Source organism: Homo sapiens, chromosome 11, assembly GCF_000001405.40.
Source record: "Homo sapiens chromosome 11, GRCh38.p14 Primary Assembly".
NCBI lineage: Eukaryota > Metazoa > Chordata > Mammalia > Primates > Hominidae > Homo > Homo sapiens.
The window spans coordinates 18231355-18255658 of record NC_000011.10 but is presented as its reverse complement, the minus strand read 5'-3'; the positions used below and the strand labels follow the sequence as shown (position 1 = coordinate 18255658).

At 43.0% G+C, this 24304-nt stretch overlaps 3 protein-coding genes and 1 pseudogene across 14 annotated transcripts, besides 4 other annotated features; all 4 read left to right on the top strand.

Annotated features, from left to right (window-relative positions):
* The first annotated feature begins 6990 nt into the window (after positions 1-6990).
* On the top strand, positions 6991-17423 carry SAA2 (serum amyloid A2). Of its 12 annotated transcripts, none has more exons than NR_169749.1 (5): positions 6991-7056; positions 7644-7738; positions 9611-9749; positions 15372-15470; positions 15690-17423. NR_169749.1 is itself a non-coding variant. In NM_001385667.1 (5 exons), exons 3-5 carry the CDS (start codon positions 7648-7650, stop codon positions 15709-15711), a joined length of 252 nt encoding a protein of 83 aa, NP_001372596.1. In that variant the 5' UTR covers positions 6991-7056; positions 7143-7203; positions 7644-7647; the 3' UTR covers positions 15712-17423. The 12 variants fall into 12 exon arrangements, 10 of the variants coding, with proteins under 10 accessions (NP_001372596.1, NP_001372595.1, NP_001372601.1 ...); NM_001385667.1 differs by lacking the exon at positions 15372-15470 and adding an exon at positions 7143-7203; NM_001385666.1 differs by lacking the exons at positions 15372-15470; positions 15690-17423 and adding exons at positions 7143-7203; positions 10144-10419.
* Positions 6991-24304, top strand: SAA2-SAA4 (SAA2-SAA4 readthrough). The gene is made up of 6 exons (NM_001199744.2): positions 6991-7056; positions 7644-7738; positions 9611-9749; positions 19729-19823; positions 23126-23264; positions 23995-24304. The coding sequence occupies exons 2-6, from the start codon at positions 7648-7650 to the stop codon at positions 24155-24157; spliced, it is 627 nt and encodes a 208-aa protein (NP_001186673.1). The 5' UTR covers positions 6991-7056; positions 7644-7647; the 3' UTR covers positions 24158-24304.
* Positions 7153-7270, top strand: RNA5SP333 (RNA, 5S ribosomal pseudogene 333; annotated as a pseudogene).
* Positions 11403-11452: an enhancer, noted in NCBI's record as "active region_4492". NCBI's record gives its function as "activates an Ori minimal core promoter by ATAC-STARR-seq in GM12878 lymphoblastoid cells {active_cell/tissue: GM12878}" and the evidence as "EXISTENCE:reporter gene assay evidence [ECO:0000049][PMID:35858748]".
* Positions 11563-11857: a silencer, noted in NCBI's record as "tiled region #7495; HepG2 Repressive non-DNase unmatched - State 12:CtcfO". NCBI's record gives its function as "represses a minimal TATA promoter and a strong SV40 promoter by Sharpr-MPRA in HepG2 cells {active_cell/tissue: HepG2}" and the evidence as "EXISTENCE:reporter gene assay evidence [ECO:0000049][PMID:27701403]".
* Positions 11563-11877: a biological region, named in NCBI's record as "Sharpr-MPRA regulatory regions 9378 and 7495".
* Positions 11583-11877: an enhancer, noted in NCBI's record as "tiled region #9378; K562 Activating DNase unmatched - State 12:CtcfO". NCBI's record gives its function as "activates a minimal TATA promoter and a strong SV40 promoter by Sharpr-MPRA in K562 cells {active_cell/tissue: K562}" and the evidence as "EXISTENCE:reporter gene assay evidence [ECO:0000049][PMID:27701403]".
* On the top strand, positions 18857-24304 carry SAA4 (serum amyloid A4, constitutive). The gene is made up of 4 exons (NM_006512.4): positions 18857-18942; positions 19729-19823; positions 23126-23264; positions 23995-24304. The coding sequence occupies exons 2-4, from the start codon at positions 19733-19735 to the stop codon at positions 24155-24157; spliced, it is 393 nt and encodes a 130-aa protein (NP_006503.2). The 5' UTR covers positions 18857-18942; positions 19729-19732; the 3' UTR covers positions 24158-24304.

Sequence of the window (24304 nt, the reverse complement as noted above, 5' to 3'; positions counted from 1 at the left end):
TTCAACATCTTTGGCTTTCTCTTCTCCTTGAAATATTTTTAGTAAGATTTCTGATCTGGGCATGGTGGCTCATGCCTGTAATTGCAGCAGTTTGGGAGGCCAAGGCAGGAGGATCACTTGAGCCCAGGAGTTCAAGACCAGCCTTGGCAACATAACAAGACCCTGTATCTACAAAAAAAATAAGAAAACTAGCCAGGCATGGTGGTGTGTGCCTGTAGTCCCAGCTACTCGGGAGGTTGAGATGAGAGAACTGCTTGAGCCCAGGAGTTTGAGGCTGCAGTGAGTCATGATCACACCACTGTACTCCAGCCTGGGCAACAGAGTGAGACCCTATCTGTTTTGTTTTTACCTTAGAATATAGATTTTATTATTAGTTAGGTATGGCAAGGCCAACAGCTCAGGAGATGACTGCCATTGAGAAGATAGCCTCACAGTTCCCAAAAGAAGAGAGTGAACTATGCCACAGGGGACTGCACCAGGAAGTAAGTGGGTAAGTCAGGGAGCAGAGGAAGTAGGGGAGGTGTAGGAAGAGTCCTTACTGTGTTTCTGCAGGAAGGAATGGTGTGGCAGCATACACAGGTTTAGGATTGGCTAGCATGAATAATTTCAATGGGTGCAGGGGCATGGAGGCTGTCCCTAGTTGTTTGGGACGTGGTCCTTGAGTGATTAGGGCAGGTGGATGGTGCCCCAGGATGTGAGAGCTCGATAAAGGAGGTGGGTGGGAGTGTGGACTCTTGATTGGTTGGTCTGCACATGGAAGGCATGCTCCCAGGAGAGTCATTTACTGTGTCTAGGACTTGACTAGCTCTGAGAGAAATGGTCCCTTAGGGTCAGCAAGGGCCCAGATGCCAAGCACCAAAAACACAAAATGAAAGGACATGATTAATACAACTTGCGAGGCACCGTTGGCATGGCTCAAGCATTCTGCTTAGATAAGCCAGGCTGTCTGAGAGTCTTGCCAGTGCATGTCTCACCCTTGGCCGACATAGTTTCCCTGGTCACCCTTGCAAGTTGGCTTCCCTACTTAAAACACCTCCAGTCTCCATCCAGTCTCCCACTCCACAATTCCCACCAGGAGAGCAGTCCTCACTAAGTCCTCCATAACCTGCCTGCATCCATCCTGGGACATTTCATTCCTATGACTGCCCCCAGTGTGTCCCATCTGCTGTTCACACTCCTCTTTCCCAGGTGCCTGCTTCACACCTCATGCAACACTCCTGTTGCCTGGTGGTCTGAAGCACATGCGCATGGCTTGTCCTGGCACAGGTAGGGTAGGATCTGATGTCCACGGGCCCTCAGCATCTCCACCACATCTCATGAACCATTCCTTCCCTAGGTGCAGATCAACATCACTCCGACATTCCCTGTGGGATGGCGGGGTGGGGTACACTCACTTCTCCGTGGATCACCATTGGCAAACTTTATGCTTAGCGCTTTACAGGAAATGGTTTCATTCAGGCTGGGAGTAAGGAGGCTCTTCAAAGCTGGGCAGCCCTACTTTCCTGGCGCCCACTTTGGACATAACTGCTACTGCAAACAACTCTCGCTTCTTCTGCCCCCGAGACACCCTCTGCCCCAAAGACTGTGGCAGGGGTCACAGTGGTCTCCCCACTTGTGGCAGATCCCATGATCCCCCATCTCAGAGACCAGTACATGTCCCCTGTTCGCTCATGTCAGGGAAAAACTCTCTCAAACCGTGTATTCCCTCTGCCCTCAAACAGCAATGATCGTCAACACAGAAGACCTCCGTAACCAAAGGTGTGGGTTTTTCCCCCCACACACCAAGCAGCAGACACCAGGAGTGTCCTCCAATGCAGTTCCAACACTACCTACCTGGAGACAGTGTCAGATCCCACAGGTTGGGGGCTCAGTCCCCAAGACCTCCCCCTCTTTCTCCCCAGTTGCAAGTCTGGGCCTCTGGAACTTCTGACTGACTGGCTTCAAGTTGGGGTTCCCATGACCCCCTCTTTGGGTTCGATTAATTTGCTAGAGTGACTCACATAACTCAGGGAAACACATTTGCTGGTTTATTTATAAAGGATATTATGAAAGATACAGATGAAGAGATGTGGAGGGCGAGGTAAGGGGAAAGGGGCGTGGAGCTTTCATGATCTCTCTGGGTGTGCCACTCTCTAGGAAGTGTTCACTCTCCAGATAGTGTTCAGCTATGTGGAAACTCTCTGAACCCTGTCCTTCTGGGTTCTTATGGAGGCTTCATTACATAGGCATGATTGGCAACCATGAAGAAATGTGATTGGACAAAAAGCATATGGTATAAACCCAGCAAGGCTTGTCTGTTCAGACTTGGCGTTTCTGTGCAGCATTCCTTCCTCTAGGGTATGAGGCAAGGCCCTTTCTGGAATGAGAGTCTTTTGACCCACAATCAAATTAGAGTCCTGCTTTGGGCAGGTGGAAGAAGGACAGGAGAAGGTCATAGACAGAGATTCTGTTTACTGAGGCCTAAAGTGCCCAACAATATAACAAGGAGTTAGGATCCAGGAGCTGCAGATGAAAAGCAAAATATATGGCTGGGCGCGGTGGCTCACACCTGTAATCCCAGCACTTTGGGAGGCTGAGGCCGGTGGATCACCTGAGGTCAGGAGTTTGAGACCAGCCTGGCCAACATGGTGAAACCCCGTCTCTACTAAAAATGCAAAAATTAGCCGGGCATGGGGGCAGGCACCTGTAATCCCAGCTACTCGGGAGGCTGAGGCACGAGAATCGCTTGAACCTGGGAGGCAGAGGTTGCAGTAAGCAGAGATCGCGCCACTGCATTCCAGCCTGGGCAACAAAAACAGACTCGGTCTCAAAAAAAGGAAAAGATATATATACATATATAAAGATAAATATATATATATGTGTGTGTGTATATATCTAAACACTACAGCTCTTACTTTTTTAATTGACTTAACTTTTCATTGACTTAACTTCTCTTTTTTTTTTTTTGAGATGGAGTTTCGCTCTTGTGGCCCAGGCTGGAGTGCAATGGTGCAATCTTGGCTCACCGCAACCTCCACCGCCCGGGTTCAAGCAATTCTCCTGCCTCAGCCTCCTAAGTATCTGGGATTACAGGCATATGCCACCACACCCAGCTAATTTTGCATTTTTAGTAGAGACGGGTTTTCTCTATGTTGGTCCGGCTGGTCTTGAACTCCCAACCTCAGGTGATCCACCTGCTTCAGCCCGGCAAAGTGCTGGGATTACAGGCGTGAGCCACCGCACCCAGCTGACTTAATTTTCATAGATAACTTATTCATCATAAAGAATTAATTTATTGGCTGGGTGTGGTGGCTCACAACTGTAATTCTAGCACTTTGGGAGGCCAAGGCAGGCGGATTGCTTGAGCCCAGGAGTTCCAGACCAACCTGAGCAAAATATTTATTTTTTGTGTTTATTTACAATAAATACAAAAAGTTATCTAGGCCCAGTGGTGTGCACCTGTAGTCCCAGCTACTCGGGGGGCTGAGGTGGGAGGTTCACCTGATGCCGGAGAGGTTGAGGTTTCAGTGAGCTGAGATTGTATCACTGCACTGCAGCCTGGGTGACAGAGCCAGACTTTGTCTTAAAAAGAAAGAAAGAAAGAAAGAAAGAAAGAGAGAGAGAGAGAGACAGAGAGAGAGAGAGGGGGGGAGAGAGAAAGAGAGAGAGAAAGAAAGAAAGAAAGAAAGAAAGAAAGAAAGAAAGGAAGGAAGGAAGGAAGGAAGGAAGGAAGGAAATAAATAAATAAATAAATAAATAAATAAATAAAGAAAGAAAGAAAGAAAGAAAGAAAGAATTTGTTGCCTTCCTGATAAAAATTCCAGTGGGAAATTTTGATTCACATTGCATTTAATTTATAAATAAATTTGGGAGAATTGGTATCTTTGCTAAGCTAAAATATAATCTCTGTGGACATGACGTACATTGCCACTGTTTATCCTTTAACAGACTAAATTTTCTCTGTAAGAGGTTATTTCCTAGATAGTTAATATTTTTGGTACTACTTTGTGCTGTATTTTATAACTATTAAGGAATGTTGCAGAGAAATGCTATCAATTGTTAAAATTTTGCCATGAATACAGCAGCCTCACTGAATTCTCTTAGTAGTTCTAATAGCTTGCCATTTGATTCTAACAGGTTTTCTATGTAAAAGATGGTGTCATCTTCAAACAATGATAGTTTCATTTCTTCTCTTTCACCTCTTACCTTCCTTGTGTTTCTTTAGCATTGGGCAGGTCCTTCAGGGATATGTGAAACAGTGGCAGTAACAACCAGACATCCTGGCCTCTTTGTTTTTTTTTCCATGATGAAGTCTCACTCCGTTGCCCAGGCTGGAGTGCAGTGGCACGATCTCGGCTCACTGCAGCCTCCACCTCCCGGCTTCAAGTGATTCTCCTGCCTCAACCCCCCAAGTACTTGGGATTACAGGTACCTGCCACTACACCCGACTAATTTTTGTACTTTTAGTAGAGACAGGGTTTCACCATGTTGGCCAGGCTGGTTGAGAATTCCTGACCTCCAGTGATCCACCTGCCTCGTCCTCTCTAAGTTCTTGGATTACAAGTGTGAGCCACCACGCCTGCCATTGTGGCCTCTTTATTGGTCTTCTTGAGAATGCACCTGAAGTGTCTTAATTACACATAATGTTTGCTGTAGAGCAATGATTCTCAAACCTTTTGGTCTCAGGATCCCATTACACTATTAAAAATTATTGAATACCCCAAAGAACTTTTATTTATGGGGACTCTATTCATCAGTATTTACCATAATAGAAAGAAAAAATTTAAACATTTATCAATTCTTCAAAAAATTATCCATCTTCTATATGTTAACATAAATAATATATTTTTATGAAAAATAACCATCTTCCAAAAGAAAAAAAGTAAGAAGAGTACTATGGTTTTACCCTTTTGAAAATTTTTCATGTCTGATTTTTTTTTCATAGCTGGATTTTCCTATCTGATTCATCATCCAACCTGTTTTAATATGTTATTTAGGTTGGAGTATATGAAGAAAATTCAGCCTCACACAGATATATAGTTGAAATGGGGGAGTGTATTTTAATGGTATTTTTAGATAATTGTGGCTATTCTATATTATACCAAACTCAACAAGTGGTAGCTTCTGAAAAGTCAGTTACCATGTGGAAATCCACACTCATATCAACTAACTTGTCATATTGTGTGTACTCATGAGAAAATGAGACTGAAACATGAAAATAGTGTGTTAGCACTATTCTAAAAATAATTTTGAGATCAAAGCCTCCCTAAGGAGGGATTCTTAGGGTTCCCTGGAAAACAGTTTGAGAACTGTTGCTATAACATATTGGTATTTATCCTTTCTCAAGTCAGAAATGGTCTCTTTATTTTGTTATACATTTTCCTTATCATCAGTAGATGTTGACAATTATGAAATTCATTTTCTGCATCTAGTAAAATAAATGTACAATCCTTTTCTTTGATTACTGGTATAGTGAATTACAAAGATAGATTTTTCTGATATGAAACTCTTCTTGACTCCCTGGAATAAGCCCTGGTTAATCACGATGTGCTATTATTTTCACCTGATCTGTGCTGTACCATGTACAGCATGATGTACTATTACTGCTACCCAGTTGGAAACATTCAGCCTCTCTCTGTGAGCTCTTTTTCCCTGGGGATGTCAACTACCCTGCCTAAAATATGTGTGACTGTGTGTGTGGACCCATTCCAGCAGGTACCACTCTCAGTGGTTTTAAGGTGGCAAGATGTAGTGGGGGAGGTGGAGGTGTCAATGCATAGGTCTCAGAACAGAGTCTATAATATCATTGTTCACATTGGAGCCACGCATTTGCTGCTTATGGAGTATTTGGCCATCCTTTACTTCCTGGCCCTACCCATTTCTCAGAGATTAAAAAAAATTTTTTAAGATAATCTTGCTGTGTTGCCCAGGCTGGCCTCAAATTTCTGGGTTCAAGCAGGCCTCCTGCCTTGGCCTCCCAAGTAGCTGGGACTATAGGCACATGCCACCATGCCTGGCCCATTTCTAAATTGCTTGTTTGTTTGTTATTACAAATGCCTAGCCCTCAGGGTATGAACATGGACTGGAGAAGAAGAAACCAGAGTTGCTGCTATGTCCACCAGCCTCTCTGCATGTCCTGGCCTCAGCCCCCCTGGGCTCTGGTACTGACCCATCTCTGGCCACCATGCTCCTCCATAAGCCTCTGCAGAGCTAATCTGACCCTGTTGATGTTCTCATGAGAGAGTGATCTGCATGCCCCCTGCACCCCTCCGTGATAATACAGCAGACCAAGAGCTCTCCCACCCTTCCCTGCCTGGATGCTGGGCACGTCCCCAGCTGGGCTGCCTATTTAACGCACCACACTCTCATTCTCCCAAGGTGGGGCTCCAGGACTAGGCTGGGGCAGCAGAAAGTCCCCCTCTCTACATTGTCCTTGGCTCAGGAGCCAACTTAGAAAAAGCATTTCCAAATTGGCTAAGCCAGCGGAGCAGAGATTTTCTGTGCTGAGAAATATCAGGACATCCAGAGGGGTGGAAGGAGGCTTCCAGGGCACACATGAGATGTGGCAGGGGTAGGCTGTCCGTTTTAAAGCTTAAAGCTTTAGACATGAACTCACAGGGATTTCAGTCAGGGTCATCTGCCATGTGGCCCAGCAGGGCCCATCCTGAGGAAATGACCGGTATAGTCAGGAGCTGGCTGAAGAGCTGCCCTCACTCCACACCTTCCAGCAGCCCAGGTGCCGCCATCACGGGGCTCCCACTGGCATCTCTGCAGCTGCACTTCCCCCAATGCTGAGGAGCAGAGCTGATCTAGCACCCTGTCCATTGCCAAGGCACAGCAAACCTCTCTTGTTCCCATAGGTTACACAACTGGGATAAATGACCCGGGATGAAGAAACCACCGGCATCCAGGAACTTGTCTTAGACCAGTTTGTAGGGGAAATGACCTGCAGGGACTTTCCCCAGGGACCACATCCAGCTTTTCTTCCCTCCCAAGAGACCAGCAAGGCTCACTATAAATAGCAGCCACCTCTCCCTGGCAGACAGGGACCCGCAGCTCAGCTACAGCACAGATCAGGTGAGGAGCACACCAAGGAGTGATTTTTAAAACTTACTCTGTTTTCTCTTTCCCAACAAGATTATCATTTCCTTTAAAAAAAATAGTTATCCTGGGGCATACAGCCATACCATTCTGAAGGTGTCTTATCTCCTCTGATCTAGAGAGGTAAGCAGGGTCGGGCCTGGTAGTACTTGGATGGGAGAACACCTGGGAATACCAGGTGCTAAAGGCTTTAAGAATAAAAAATAATGATCCTGCTTTGTGTTTATCCCATGTTGAGTTCTGTGCGGGGCAGAGGGAACACACGGTAAATGCGTTATGGGGAATTATAGGCTACTTGAGGGAGTGACAGTCTGGTGGTAACTCCTGCCTTCCTCCATCAGTGCCACATTGGCATCCTCTTATGCAGTCAGGCTTCAGGGCTGATGGGTTCAGAACCGAGGGCTTCTGGCTCTGAGTGAGGTCCTGCTGCAAGGTTTCCTAGATGAGCCACTGAGACTCTAATAAGATCCAGTGGAAATAACCAGGCTCTCGTCGGAATATAAGTCCCAAGGGAAGCTGTGCCAGTCTTGTGGGCGACTGCCTGACTTCTCCTTTCATTTCAGCACCATGAAGCTTCTCACGGGCCTGGTTTTCTGCTCCTTGGTCCTGAGTGTCAGCAGCCGAAGCTTCTTTTCGTTCCTTGGCGAGGCTTTTGATGGTAAGGCTTCAGAAGGTTTGCAGGATTTCTGAAGAGAAACATCGCCCTGGACCTGATAAACTGGGGAAAATGATGCTTTCGGAAGGCTGCTTTTGAACCACAGAGTTGCTAGTGTCTGCGTTGCTGAGGCCTGCCAGGAACTAGGGTTTGCTGGGTTGCCTGTCTCGAGTCTTTCAGAGCTGCTGGGAATATCCCCTTTCCCCGTAGTGCAGCTTCTCAGGATGTGTTAAGTGGATGGATCACATTTCAGAAGCCGCTGCAAGGTGTATCAAAAACACATCTCCTGAGCCGTAAGGGACGGGGCATCCAGTAACAACGCACACGGGGTATTTTTGGGCTTCCTTAAGATTTGAGCCGCTGCCTTAGGTTGTGCTGCCCAATGTGCCTGGGGAGCTGCTAAACAGATTAGAGAGTCGAGGATTGTTGTCAGTTACTCAGAGAAAGAACAATCATCCTTTCCAGGAGCACCTGAGCTGTTTGTTTTGAGTAGAAGATGCAAAATAAGGCCTGCAATTGGTATAAAATGTCCCTCAGCATAAATCGCATAGGAGTATGACTAAGGCTGTTGACTCTTCTGTCTTCTTTCTCCTTCCTCCTTCGATTTCCTAGTTGGATAATGTACAGGGCTCTTTAGCCTCGCTCTGTCAGGGGCTCCCTTCCTGGTTTGTTCTGTTTCCATTCTTCCTTCTCCAGCCTTCTTGACAAGAGCTGGGAACTAACGTGCCTCAAGCCCCCACAAGGACCACAGCATTTTCTCATCTAGTTTCAGAATGACTCTGTGAGGCAGGCATCCCTTCTGTGAAGGTGAGAAAGCTGAGACTTAGAGCAGCTGAGGCCAATGCCCAGGGACTTACTGCCAGTCAGCAGGTGGCAGGGCAGAGGTTTGAGCCCGGCTGTGCTTGAGGTCAGGGCTCTTGCCAGGTAGACGCATCACTGACCACCTCCCAGAGGTTGATGGTTATGAATCTCAGACACACCTTGGCATCACCTGAACTACCCATGCCTTCAACTCCCCAGCAGAGTCTGCAGAAACTGGCCTGGGGTGTGGCCTGGGCACTGGGACTTTCAGTTTCTCTCTGGGTGATTAGAAAGTGCAGCCAAGGCTCACGCCTGTAATTCCAGCACTTTGGGAGGCCAAGGTGGATGAATCACTTGAGGTCATGAGTTCCGGAGCAGCCTGGCCAACATGGTGAAACCCTGTGTCTACTAAAAATATGAAAATGTAGCCAGGCGTGGTGGCAGGCACCTGTAATCCCAGCTACTCAGGAGGCTGAAGCAGGAAAATCACTTGAACCCGGGAAGCGGAAGTTGTAGTGAGTTACATTGCTCCAGTGTGCTCCAGCCTGGGTGACAGAGTGAGACTCCGTCTAAAAAAATAAAAAAGAAAAAGAAAGTGCAACCACGGCGGAGAACCGCTGCTCTATTGCTTCCTCAAGCAACCCACAGTATCAGTACAGCCTACTGAGAAAGTGTTTAGGGACTTTTATGCTCCTAACAGTCACTGGAACTCAGGTCACAATGACATGTATTCCATTTGCAAGAATATATACTTTAGTAGTCAGGGCAGAAGTACTCTGTGTCTGCCACCTTTCTCAGCATCAGTATTCCATGTCACCACCTCATTCATATACACTCCTGGATCTTATCATAGGCAGCTTCATTCTATAGCAGTGGCTCTTCACCAGGGCACTTGAAGAAGCCAACTAGGATAAAGGAATGTGCTTCTCAACCCATGGTATCCAAGGCTGCTATGATCACAGGCTGAAAGCTTGAAGTCAGTGGAAGATTTGTCCTTCTTTCATTCCCCTCTAAGGTGTTGTTGGAGTCTTTATGTTCTCCTGATGTCCCTTCTGCCTTTCCTTTCCTTTCCAGGGGCTCGGGACATGTGGAGAGCCTACTCTGACATGAGAGAAGCCAATTACATCGGCTCAGACAAATACTTCCATGCTCGGGGGAACTATGATGCTGCCAAAAGGGGACCTGGGGGTGCCTGGGCTGCAGAAGTGATCAGGTAACTGGAGCTCCTGGGACGTTAGGGCTGGGTGAGCAGAGCTTGCCTGCCTTGGACAGTCAGGAGGGAGACGAGCTCCTTGTGGAGAAGTTAGAGGCTGTGGTCCCTCCTCTTCTTGCCCTCTCTCTGCCTCTGTGCTCAGTGTGAGGGTCTGAGTGGATGGTAGGAGTGAGTGATTCCTCCCCCTCCCCCTCTGGGTGCTGTTCATCCAGCCTAGGGGTGCCCAGCCTGTCTGAATGGGGCAGTGCCCAGGCAGGGTCAGTGTTTTCACTCCTCCTTCCTTGGCCTTTCTGGGCTCCTCTCTGAGCCCTCCCTTGGAACGGGGAGAATGGGAGGGTGAGCTGTTGCTCACTGGCCTGATGATTAATCTCCTTCTTGCCTGCCTGGACTACAGCAATGCCAGAGAGAATATCCAGAGACTCACAGGCCGTGGTGCGGAGGACTCGCTGGCCGATCAGGCTGCCAATAAATGGGGCAGGAGTGGCAGAGACCCCAATCACTTCCGACCTGCTGGCCTGCCTGAGAAATACTGAGCTTCCTCTTCACTCTGCTCTCAGGAGACCTGGCTATGAGGCCCTCGGGGCAGGGATACAAAGTTAGTGAGGTCTATGTCCAGAGAAGCTGAGATATGGCATATAATAGGCATCTAATAAATGCTTAAGAGGTGGAATTTGTTGAAACAGTGTGTTCTTCTTTTGGTGCTGACTGCCTGTTTGGTACAAAAGGGAAATCAATGCACACCCACATGAAGGGTGAGCCTAGGTAGGCCTATGTGTTTGGATGTGAGGAGACATTCTTAGTAGTCACAGTGCAGACACCTGCATCAACCCTTCCACAAATTAGACCTCCTTTTTTCCAGACCTTTGTGGTTACATTGTTGCTATTTCCAGTCCCTTCCTTGCCCAGGCTTCTCATCTCCTGTGAATTATTTCCTGTTACCTTCTCTGTCCCTCAGTTCTTCATTCCTCAGTGATCTCTGTTTCTGGAGGCAGGGGCTACAGACAATTGAATTGTGAAGTCCTGCCTCAGCGACTGCCACCCGAGTCTTCCTTTCATTTCTCAGCAACACCTACAAATCCAGGCATTAATGAATTTCTACCCACTCCATCTAAAAAATACCTCCAATGCAGTTCTCTTCCACTCTATTTTCATTGCCTTCTTTCAAGTCTAAATATGTAATGCGACTCCTTTTATGAATGTTTTCTGAGTTTCTGGAGCTTAACTAGATCAAAGTTGTGGAAGTGGTGGCAGTGGAGAGAGAGCCAGATAGAGAAGAACTGTTTTATCAGTCAGGGTCCCTTTGGGAGACAGAAACCAGGCAGTAATTTGAAAAGGGAAATTTTAATATAAAGAATTATTAACTGAGAGCAGCATTAACTTCTAAGAGTACAGAATATGAGAAGGTATAAATTTGAGATTGGGCCCCTCACAAGACTGACATTGGATGGCAAATAGTTTACTGGGTCCTTCAAGCCAAAACTGACATATAAGAACTCCATTGAGGTATTAATGAAACTTGGCAGGAAGCTACCCAGGGTGTAACTTAACTCTGGGAATGCAGCTAGGGTTCCTGTGACAAATTTGGGAAACTGCTTGGGGGCAGGAGATAGGTTATCAAAACCCCTGGGAAGCCAGCTGTGGAAGTGGCAGTGCTCTGGAGTGAACTGTATCTTGCCAAAATGTATATGTTGAAACCCCAACTCACAGCATGGCTGTACTATTTTGTTACAGCAGCCCAAGCTGATTAAAATAAGTGGGCTGCTGGTAAACATCATGGACATCCTACTGAGGTGCCACAGAAATTGTCAGGAAACTGTCTTGGCCTTGGGATGCCACTCAGATCTCTGGGGCAAGTGCCACTGGTTGTCCTGTACAGGAGAAGAGTACTGCAGGAGCTGAAAGGAAGCAAAGCACAAAAGAACAGGAAAAGATGTCTTCATCTCCTGCTTGGCCCTCTAGCGCCCTCTATGGGTGAAGATTAACATCATGCCCAACTGGCAAAGGAGAAATGTTCACAGGGTCCAGCTCCAGCATCACAAATAGGACAAAGGGGTGGGTGTGGAGCTGAAAATAAAGAAACTGATAACTGGCATACCCCTTTTCTCTGAAAAAGGATTGAGGAGGACTCCTAAGGTGAGAAGACTAGTTATAAAATTATATTTACAGAGTAAAGACAAATTTATTTGTCAAGGAGGAAGAAAATGTATGGATATAAAGTAGAACTATTTACAACAGAACTTTCTCATACAGTTCTCATCAAAAGACACTAATAGAAGTGTAGGTATAGGAGGTATAGGAGGTTTGAGTCTGAGTCTCAAAGATGTGCCAATGCCAAAACAAGGCAAGGGCAAGATAAATAAGATGGAGAGAGGCGTGGAAGATTGGCTCATGGGAGCAGACTCAATGCACTGTTGAGATTAGTGTTCAGTCTAGTAAAGTCTGAGTTGACCCCAAGTTGTAAAAAAAGACTGTAATGCTATTATTACAATAGCAATTGTAAATGCTTACAATTAGATTTCTGTCACAAGTACTGAAGTTGTAGATTTTGGGGGGCAGGAGGGAGAGAAAGGGAGGATGAGAGAAAGAATGGCTTTCAAAGTCAAATAAAGCAAGCTTTCAAAGTCTAGTCTTTGTAGATATTCAAAACTTTGCAATCAACATATTATTACTAGAAATAATTAACTGAAGCAACATTTGGATACAGAAATTCATTCATCCGTCTGTAAAGGACCAAATCACTCCCCTTCTTGAAATCTATAATTTGAAAAAAAATTTAATTCAATATAGTCCATAGGTTCAGAGGAAGAAAAAGTATAAAAAAAACAAGAAAAAAATTTTTAAATCGAAATTTGTATCCAAGGAAAAAGGTGCTTGGTTTACCCAGGAATTTATAATTTGTAAAGTCACACCTAATACCTATGCTCTGGCACACCCAAATACCTTTTATTAATTACTTGGTTTTCCTCAGTAAGAATTAACATGCTTCTCTCTGTTAGAAAAGTTTGAGAAAGGGAAATTGCATTGCTCTTTGTTATAGTTGTGTTTTGTTTTGTTTCGTTATTTGAGACAGCATCTCCCTCTTTCATCCAGGCTGAAGTGCCATGGCATGATCATGGCTCACTGCAACCTCGACCTCCCGGGGCTCAAGAGATCCTCCCACTTCAGCCTCTTGAATAACTGGGACTGCAGATGTGCGCCATGACACTTGCCTAATTTTTATATTTTTTGTAGAGATGGGGTTTCGCCGTGTCACCCAGGCTGGTCTTGAACTCCTGGGCTCAAGTGATCTGCCTGCCTCAGCCTCCCAAAGTGCTGGGATTACAGGCATGAGTCACTGAGCCCAGCCTACTGTTATATTTATTTTTGTGTCGGTTTGAGGCTGCCCAGATTCACATTGTTTCTGGGGTCGTCTGTGAGGGTGTTTCCAGAGGAGATTAACATTTGAATTGGACTTAATAAAGTAGATTGCTATTCTCAATGCAACTGGGCATCACCCAATCTGTTGAAGGCTTGAATAGAACAAAAATAGAGGAAGGACAGATTTGCCTCCCTTTTCCCCTGCCTCACTGCTTGAGTTGGACATCTCCTCTCATCTTCTCTTGCCCTCAAATTGGATTTACGTGATCAGTTGCTCTGGTTCTCAGGCCTTTGAACTCAGACTGAATTACACTTTCCTGAGTTTCTAGCTTGCAGAGGGCAGATCGTGGGACTTCTCAGCCCCAATTATCTTGTGAGCCAATTCCTTACAATAAATAAATACATACATACATACACAAATAAATTATTTGTCCTGTGTCTCTCAAGAACCCTGACTAATAGGGTATCCAAGCTTTTCAGTCTTATCTCCTATGACTAATTAATGTGCCTCATGCTACATGCAAATTGAGCTGCTTGTTATTTTTAAACATGTCATTGAATTAGGAATTATTTCAAACGTTCAGAAATGTGCTTCCATGTGTTCATTCAGCATTTATTATTGTTATTTAAAATATTCATTCATTTATTTATTTATAGATTTAGGGGGTACAAGTACAGATTTGTTACACTGATAGATTGCATAATGGTGAAATCTGGGTTCTTAGTGTAACCATCACCCAAGTAGAGTTCATTGTACCTGTCAGGTAATTTCTCAATCCTCGGCCCCCTTCTGCCCTCCATCTTTCTGAGTCTCCAGTGTCCATTATTCCACTTTCTATGTCCATGTGTACACATTATTTAGCTCCCATTTATAAGTGCGAAAATGTGATATTTGACTTTCTGGGTTATTTCACTTAAGATAATGGCCTCTAGTTCTATCTATGTTGCAGCAAAAGATACGATTTCATTCTTTTTAATGGCTGAATAGTATTCTATGGTGTATATATGTGTATACAGACATACACACACACCCCTCCAATCATTCGTTGATTAACCTAAGACACTTAGGTTAATCCCATATTTTTGCTACTGTGAATAATAGTGTTGTGATAAATACATGCATTCAGGTATATTTTTTATATAATGATCTATTTTCCTTTGGGTAGTACCCAGTAATGGGACTGCTGGGTCAAATGGTAGCTCTATTTTTAGTTCTCTGGGAAATCTCCATACTGCTTTCCACAGAGGCTGTACTAATTGACATTCCCATGAGCAGTGTATAAGCATTCCCTTTTCTCCACATCCTCACCAACATCTGTTGTTTTTTTGACATTTTAGTAATAGCCATTCTGATTGTGTGAGATGGTATCTCATTGTGGTTTTAATTTGTGATTAAATTTGTGTTTAAATTTGTGACTCTGATGATTAGTGATGTTGAGCATTTGTTCATATTTTGTTGGCCATTTGTATGTTTTCTTTTGAAAAATACCTGTTCATGTCCTTTGCCCGCTTTTTAATGGGGTTATTTCCTTTTTTCTTGTTGTCTGAGTTCCTTGTAGAATCTTGGTACTTGTCCTTTGTCAGATGAGTAGTTTGCAAATATTTTCTCCCGTTCTTAGGTTGTCTGTTTACTCTGTTGGCTATTTCTTTTGTTGTGCAGAAGTTTTTAGTTTAGTTTAGTCCTGCTTGTGTATATATTTTTTTGCTGCATTTGCTTTTGAGATCTTAGTCATAAATTCTTTGACTAGGTCAATGTTTGGTAGAATTTTCCTAGGTTTTCTTTTAGAATTTTTTGTTTCAGGTCTTACATTTAAGTTGTTAATCCACCTTGAGTATATATATATATGATGAGAGATATAAAATTTCATTCTTCTGCATATGGCTATCCACTTTTATCAGCACCGTTTATTGAATAAGGTATCATTTCCCCACTGTATGTTTTTGTTGACTTTGTCAAAGATCAGTTGGTTATATGTATGGGGTTTTATTTTTGGGTTCTCTATTTTGTTCCATTGGTCTACGTGTCTATTTTTATACCAGTACCATCAACATTTATTAAATAAGTAGCTATGTGACTAAAGGAACCCAGGGAATGTCACCCCAAAATACAGTACCCTGGTAGGCTGATTATTTTAAAGGCCTTTGAAAGGCAGCAGATGCTGGAAGAGGCTATTCTCTGCTCTTCTTTTATCTGCCTTATGGCTGCATCCCATGAAAGAGAAAACAATAGCCTTCCACCTGCTCCATGAAATCTCATTATTTCAGAGAAGATGACTGAGGAATACAACCACAACTGGATGGACTTTTTCAAAAGATGACACCTGCTTATTTGCCTCATTCAAATTTCAAGAGAATCATTTACAGGTTAATTTCTATTCCCCAGGTCCACTCATTCTTCCTAATAATCATTTATGACTTCAAAAAATTTGTGTACATTCCCCATCTTCTCCTCCCCTATGAAGAATAGTATATAATCACCGGTACCCCATTGGGTTATTGGGAAATCACCCTCCTGTGATTTTCCCCCTTGCATGTTAAAATACGTGTATATGACTTTTTCTCCTATTAATCTGCCTTTGTCAGTTTATTTTCAGCTGAACTGTAGAGAGTGAAGGAAGAAGCCTTTTTTCTTCACTCCTACATGACCCAGGCATTGATCCAGGCAATGAAGATTCAGTGTAAATAACCACCACTAACAAGACCATGGCCTTTGGAACCTGTGCTAAGAGGCATGGATGAGCTCCCTCAGCATGTGGATGGAGACTGAAGAGAGGTCTGAAGGCTCAGTGTGGTGTCTCCATTCTCTAAGAAGTTTGGAGGAGAAGCTGGATACAGCAAAACAGACTGAGAAGGAGCAGCTGTTGGGAAAGGAGGAAAACTAGGAAAGCATGGTGTTCCAGAATCCCTGATGGAGATATTGATTAGTAGTATCAGATTCTGCTTAGCAGTTGAGGAGTTCACCTTTGGCTTAAGCAACATGGAGTCATTGACTATCTCGTGAAGGTGGTTGCAGGAGAAGGTCTGGAGAACTAAATGGAGCAGTGATAAGAGAGAATGGGAGATGGTATGATAGGACTCCTGGACACCCCAGACATCAATCAAAACACCACAGACAAGAAGGTGTGGATACAAAAACTAGCAGTTAGAAGAAATAATAGAAAATGAACTCCAACTACTTCTGAAAAAAAAGTAATGAGGGCAATTAATACATTGAAGAAAGCCTCAATAAGTACAACAGTGTAGTACTGACTTATATATAGAAAAAACCTGATCAGTGGAACCAAATCCTCAGAATTAGACATAAGTGCATATGAGAATTTTGTATGTGATAAAGGTTGTATGTTAACGTATTAAGTAAAAGACGGACTATTCAACAAATGGGATTGGTACAACTGGGTGACCATCTAAAATAACATCATGTTGAAAACATACTGTATATATTACGGTAGGACAAATTCCAAATATGCTAAATATTTATAAACAAATAAGGAAAATGATAATAATAATATTAACATTATCTGGTGAATCCATGGAAAATTCTTTTATAGCCCAAAGTAGGGAAAGCTGCAACAACAAGGATGGAACTGGAGGTCATTATGCTAAGTGAAATCATTCAGGAACAGAAAGACAAACATCACATGTTCTCACTTATTTGTGGGATCTAAAAATCAAAACAATTGAATTCATGGAGATAGAGAATAGAAGGATGGTTACCAGAGGCTGGGAAGGGTAGTGGGGAGGGGGGGAGTGAGGGGAGGTGAGGATGGTTAATGAGTACCAAAAAAATACTTAGAATGAATAAGAGCTAGTATTTGATAGCACAACGGGGGACTATAGTCAGTAATAATTTAGCTGTACATTGTAAAATAACCAAAAGAGTATAATTGGATTATTTGTAACACAAAGGATAAATGCTTGAGGGGATGGATACCCAATTTTCCATGATGTGATTATTGCGCATTGCATGGCTGTACCAAAATATCTCATGTACCCCATAATTATATACACCTACTATGTACCCACAAAAAATTTTTAAAAAGGAATGAAATAAAAACATTTGAGTTTAAGAAAACCACAAAAAAACAAAGTAGGGAAAGCTCTTCAAATACTATGAAATTGAGAAGACAACTAAAGAAAATATTAATAAAGACAAGAACATAAATAATTTCTTTGGCAGAACATAAGCCATCATAATCAGAAGATAAATAAGCTGGGAAAAATATTTGTAACTCATATCCTAGATAACATACTCATTTTCCCTGTATATAAAAAGTTTCTCTAATGTGATAAATAAAAACACAATAAACCAGTAAAAAATGACTACTTTGATATGAAGGTATGAATTCACAATTCCTAGAAAATAGAAATAGCTCTTAAACATGTGGAAAGATGTGAAACCAAAATCATAATAAGAGAAATGTAAATTAAAATTACTTTGAGTTTTATTTTACTCACAATTTCAAAGACCAAAAAGTTTGAGAGTATACTGTGTGAGAGACAATGTGGAACCAAGTTCTTTCACTCATTTCTGGTGGGAGTAGAGATTGATACAGCCCTCATGGAAGGCAATTTGCAACATATAAAAATTTATAAAATCTAGGGCCAGGGACGTTGGCTCATGCCTGTAATCCTAGCACTTTGGGAAGCCGAGGTGGGCAGATCATTTGAGGTAAGTGGGTCGAGACTAGCCTGGCCAACATGGCGAAATCCCGTCTCTCTTAAAAATAGAAAAATTAGCCTGATGTGGTGGCATGTGCCTATAATCCCAGCTACTCAAGAGGCCGAGGCAGGGGAATCTCTTGAACCCCGGAGGTGGAGGTTGCAGTGAGCTGAGATCATGCCACTGCACTCCAGCCTGGGGGACAGAGTGAGACTCTGTCTCAAACAAACAAACAAAAAATTTATAAAATCTGATACTTTTTCACCATGGAGTTTCTTCTGTAGGAATTTATCCTAGAGATATATTTGTACATGTGCAAGAGACATATGTACAAGGTTAATAAATGCACCATTATTTGTAATATCAAAAGGTTAATAACTGTCAAAACAGCCATTAATATTGTATAAATTATGGTCCATCCATGCAATGGAATACTGTGTAGCTGTAAAAAAAAAAAAAAAAAAAGCAACAAGCCCGACATGGAAAGACTTCCAATAAATAGTAAGTTTAAAAGAAAGTGCAGAATAATACATATTTATATGAAAAAAGAGTTTTTATGCCTCAAAGGCCTTCACCCTTGATCTTCTGGTGTTATTCCTGTCCTTGTATTCTCCCAGAATCATTACCTCATCCCATGAATGGTACAGTCAAGTCTTGCTTGTTCTGTGTCCTTACATTCTTTAGAGAGAAGTCACAAGAGACAAGCAAACATCTCTTTTGCTAATAATATTGATCACTTCCTACAGCATAATATCTATGTGCAATTTTTTGGGAAGACCTCCTACTAAACAGTTAAGAATGGAAAGACACAAAGAGAAGAAAGTGGAGAAAGACCTCTGTCTTCCCACACTGGATTTTGCAAATACAACTCTTCTGTGATACAGGAAACTAAAAAGAGGGAAAAGTGGCAATTAAGAAAAACTGCCAGAAAATAAATACCTTGATGACCCAATTTGGAAAACTACTTCTAGATAAGGAAACACTATTACCCAATATGTTAATTTTTAAAATACCCAAAGAATTGAGCAAAAAGGACTTTGGCAAGGCAGGTTGTTGGATTTAAAACCGTTCTCCCATTAATGCCAAAGCCAGCAGAGGTACCAACTATAGCTCCACGGCCAGAAGATACCAGCAGCTCTGCCTTTACTGAAATTTCATCTGGAGAAAGGTCCACAGGTGAGGTTTCTTCCAAGGAGTAATTTCTCTTATTTGACTCTTTTGAGATCCTTTTCTCACATAATTGTCAAATTTCAATTGGAGAGAAACTGTGTTTTCTACCTCATTACGGGGTCAGTGCTGAGGAGAGTAGGAACTCAGGAAATGCTTCTTGATTGACTTTAGTCTGCTGTATTGGGTGACAAATTGACCACAGACCAAATAACACGTTGGAATCCTCTTATTCTTTCTAGAGATCTGGGCTGAGAATTAAGGGTTTATGCTTCTTCTTAAAACCCGTTTCAATCTTTCATGCAGTTATGATTCTCATACAAACAAATGGAAATGGGGAATTAGTCTTTCAAATTCAGTCCTTTGGCTGGCACAGTGGCTCATGCCTGTAATCCTTTGGGAGGTTGAGGTAGGAAGATTGCTTGAGGCCAGGAGTTCGAGACTAGCCTGGGCCGAACATACATACCAAGACCTTGTCTCTACCAAAAAAAAAAAAAAAAAAATTAGCTGAGTGTGATGGTGCACGTTTGTAGTCCTTAATACTCAGGAGGCTGAGGTGGGAGGATCACTTGAGCCCAGAAGGTCGAGGCTGCAGTAAGCCTTAATCATATCATTGCACTTTAGCCTGGGCAATAGGAAAAAAAAAAGAAAGAAAGAAAGGGAGGAAAGAAAGAAAGGAAGGAGAAAGAAAGAAAAGGAAAAAAAGAAAGAAAAAAAGGAAAGAAATTCAGTCCTCAAAACATAGATCTGTGTTTTTTTTTATGATCCTCTGCCCCTGTCTTTCTTTCTCTTCAGCACAATGAGGCTTTTCACAGGCATTGTTTTCTGCTCCTTGGTCATGGGAGTCACCAGTGAAAGCTGGCGTTCGTTTTTCAAGGAGGCTCTCCAAGGTAAGAACTCTGGAGGATGGAGGGCACATACCCAGGATTCATTCTGAGCAGGGGCCACATACTCACTGGATGTGAGTGCTCCTTAGAGAAGCCACACAGAGGTCAGAGCAGGAGTGTGGTTTTCTGTATCTGTTTCTTCCTCTAGGCTGGTCTGATTTATCACCCTCCCTTGGGGTTTCCAGACGAGAGGTTAAAGATGCTTTGGGCCCAGCCTGTACTCTTGGTGTAGAGTGCAGAAGGATAAAAACTTCCAGGGGGTTATCTCCCACTGCGGAAATTTACAGATGGCAGATTTCTCAGGGCATGATGTTTATTTAGCTCATCCACCTCAGGGAATATACTGAGTTCACAATTATACTCCAAGACTGAGACATGCCTAGCAGAGAGTAGAGAAATCCCATCCTGTACCCAAGCAAATGGCCAATGCTTGGGATGCAGAGCTTATGAAAATTAAGCCCTAACTTCTATCCATAAATAAAAAGAGCAAATTTCTACTGATTAGCCACAGGAGGGCTGAGATACGGCTGGGAAACTGACTTCTGCCATTCTGGATGGGAAACGAATCTTATTGACTAGCTGTTAAAATGGGAAAACTATGTTTGTCAGGTTATGCAATACTTTGAACTTCATGTGTTGTTATTAATTTTGTAGTTGAATTTTTTGTAATTTTTCAATTGAAATTTTATAAATTTTCATTTTTTCTGCATTTTGTGCTTTTAAAAATGATATTCTATAAATAGTTTTTAAAAAGTTTTGGTAGCATGTACTAAGTTTTTCTGCACATAGTAGAGAATATCTTTTCCCTTAGGTCAGTGTATTTCAGAATTTGTTGTATGGTCCACCAGCATTTAAATCGGCCGGTGTTTGTTTTAAAAGTACACTCTGAAGCCTCTTCTCATAGTTACTGAGTCAGAATCTTAGAAGTGAAGTGGGACTAGGAATAGCATTTGAAAAACTCCCCAGGTTACTTTAAGCACAATGCCAATGAGAACAACTGTCTTGGGTTTTTCTGTCACCCAGTGACAGAATCTGTCAGATGCTTGGAGAAAACTCTTGCTAGTAGATCTGGAAAACATAGAATGAACATAAAGCATGCATCAGAGAAAGGACAGTCATGCCATGCCAGAGATAAACTATTTGACAAAATTACAGACACAAAATAATACATGAAGTTAGTGAGAAATATCCCTTAGAACACAGTACCTAAGTAACAATTAAAACTATTTATCACAGCTTTTCTTTTTTCCAAGTGAGTTGGTTTAAAGAACTTGGTAACACGTAAACCACAGCAGAACTCAAAAATATTTATTGATTGAACAACACAGGCACTGATAGACATTTTCTATAGCTCTTCCTGGCTTAGACCTGTTTCAAACATCTATTTTTCCACTAATCTTTTTAAAAACTTTAAAATGATATATAACTTACATATAGTACACAGTATAGCTTGATGAGGTTTTTACACATACAAACATCCATATTACACCATCAGATCAAGATGTCAAACATTTCACACACCCCGGATGGGTCTCTCATGCCCTCTTCCAGTTAACAACCCTCACGAAAGGTAACTCCTATTCTTACCTCTATCATTGTTGATTAGTGTCCCTGTGTTTGATCTTTGAATAAAAGAAATCATACAGAATATGTCTTTTGTATCCGGCTTTGTTTCACTCAACATTACGACATACTAATATACATGACAGCATTTGTCATGTGTATTAATATTTTGTTCTTTTTCATTGCTACATAGTATTCCATTGTATACTGATATCACAATTTATCCTACATTATTGGATAATTAGGCTTTTTAAAGTTTTATGCTATCATGGCTAAACCTGTAATAAACATTGGTGTACATGTACTTTAGTGTACATAAGCCCTCGTTTCTGTTGTGGGTATACACTCAGGAATGGAAATGTAGAGTCATAAGGTATAGTCATGTCAATTTAGCTTTCGTAGATACCAGCAAACAGCTTCCCAAAATTGTACCAATTTACACTTCCATGAACAATTACGAGAGCTGGGCATGATGACTCACACTCGTAATCCCAGCACTTTGGGAGGCTAAGGCAGGAGGATCACTTGAGGCCAGGAGTTTGAGACCAGCCCGAGCAACAAAGTGAGACCCCATCTCTACCAAAAAAAAAAAAAAAATTAGCTGGGTGTGTTATTAGGTGCCTGTAGTCCCAGCTACTCAGGAGACTGAGGTGGGATGATCACTTGAGCCCAGGAGATCAAGGCTGCAGAAAACCATGATCACACCACTGCACTCCAGCCTGGGTGACAGAGGGAGACTGTGACTAAACAAAACAAAAAACAAAACCCAAAACAATTATGAGAGTTCCAGTTGTTCCACATTTTTGCCCACAATTTATATTGTCAGTTTTAAAAATTTTTATCATTCTGTTGGGTGTATAGTGGTATCTTATTGTCACTACTGCCCTTCACTAATAGGAACAGGAATCCAATTTGCATCAAGTATTCCAATATGCTAGGCATTTTATGTATGTTACCTCATTTTATCTTCTCATTTAGTCCACCAGGGAGGTAGGTATGATTCCCCCCAACTGAAGAATGTGGAAACTGACACTTAATTGTCAGGGCAGAGAGTTAAACATTTACATTCATGCCCTTCATGATAAGTCTGATTATCCAGGTCCTATGAAGCTCTCTCAGGTCATTCCACCTCATCACGTACTGCCCATTCCCTCGGCTTTCTTGTGCCATTTATGCCCATAGCAGTCAGATTTATTCAAGTCCTAGTTGTCCTCACTCAGCTGGTAAGGATGTATTTTTCTTATGGGCTATGGTAGATGTGCAGCCCCCTCCTCTTCTCACCAAGTCCCTTGTAATGTCCCTGGATCTTACATCTGTAGTACTATTCTCCATTGTGACATTCCTCACATGAGCATCCCCTCTTTGTACACAGTACACACAGACCCATGTAAGATGTAGCCCAGGGCATGACAACTGCCAACCAATTCAATTCAATGTAATCCATGGAAAAGCATTCCTCACATGAGCGTCCCCTCTTTGTACACAGCACACACAGACCCATGTAAGATGTAGCCCAGGGCATGACAACTGCCAACCAATACAATTCAATGTAATCCATGGAAAAGCACCTTCCTTACAGTTACTCAGGGAAGCTGTTCACAGGAAGTAATGTTTATCTCCACGTATGATTTCAAAGGATTATTTTGTCAAGGGCCAAAATCTGGAAATCAGTGGAAAATGTTCATTTCTACATTTCTCCAGTATGTCACTGGGTTCATTTTTGTCATTTTTTTTCTTTCCAGGGGTTGGGGACATGGGCAGAGCCTATTGGGACATAATGATATCCAATCACCAAAATTCAAACAGATATCTCTATGCTCGGGGAAACTATGATGCTGCCCAAAGAGGACCTGGGGGTGTCTGGGCTGCTAAACTCATCAGGTAACACAGATTCCCGGGGACTCCAGTGAGAGGCCAGCAGTGCCTATCTGTCTTGAGAGTCAGGAGAACCTGTGGCTCTTTCCCCTCCTCCACATACTCCTGGGGTCTGGGTGGCTGGCAGAGCCAGAGCAAGGCTGGTGAAGACATGTCTCCTTTCACCCACAAGGGAAAGTAAGAACTGAGGAGAGGTCTTGAAAGCACACTGTTGCAGGGGCTGGGTGCAGGGGCTCACACCTGTAATTCCAACTCTTTGGGAGGACAAGGTGGGAGGATCTCTTGGGCCCAGGGATTTAAGAGCAGCCTAGGCAACATAGCAAGACTCTTATCTCTACAGAAAATAAAAGAAATTAGCCAGGCGTGGTGGCATGCACCGTAGTCCCAGCTACTCAGGAGGCTGAAGTGGGAGATCCCTTGAACCCAGGAGGTCGAGGCTGCAGTGACCCATGATTGAGCCACTGCACTCCAGCCTGGGCAACAGAATGAGACCCTGTCTCAAAAAAAAAAAAAAAAAAAAAAAAGGGAAAGCACTCTGTTGCAGAGCGCAAGTATCAGTAGACTTAGGCCTTTGCCCAAGAAGATTGATAGTTTTCTTCCCCTTTCCTTGAGTTTTCCAGCCTCCTCTCAGTCATTACTTGGGTGGGAGAAGAGGAGGGAGTTAGCAGGTGGAGCTGTCTCAGGTGAGCAGGTGAGTCAAGAGATTAATCTCCTGTCTCCTTTCTTTGGGTTGCAGCCGTTCCAGGGTCTATCTTCAGGGATTAATAGACTGCTATTTATTTGGAAACAGCAGCACTGTATTGGAGGACTCGAAGTCCAACGAGAAAGCTGAGGAATGGGGCCGGAGTGGCAAAGACCCCGACCGCTTCAGACCTGACGGCCTGCCTAAGAAATACTGAGCTTCCTGCTCCTCTGCTCTCAGGGAAACTGGGCTGTGAGCCACACACTTCTCCCCCCAGACAGGGACACAGGGTCACTGAGCTTTGTGTCCCCAGGAACTGGTATAGGGCACCTAGAGGTGTTCAATAAATGTTTGTCAAATTGAA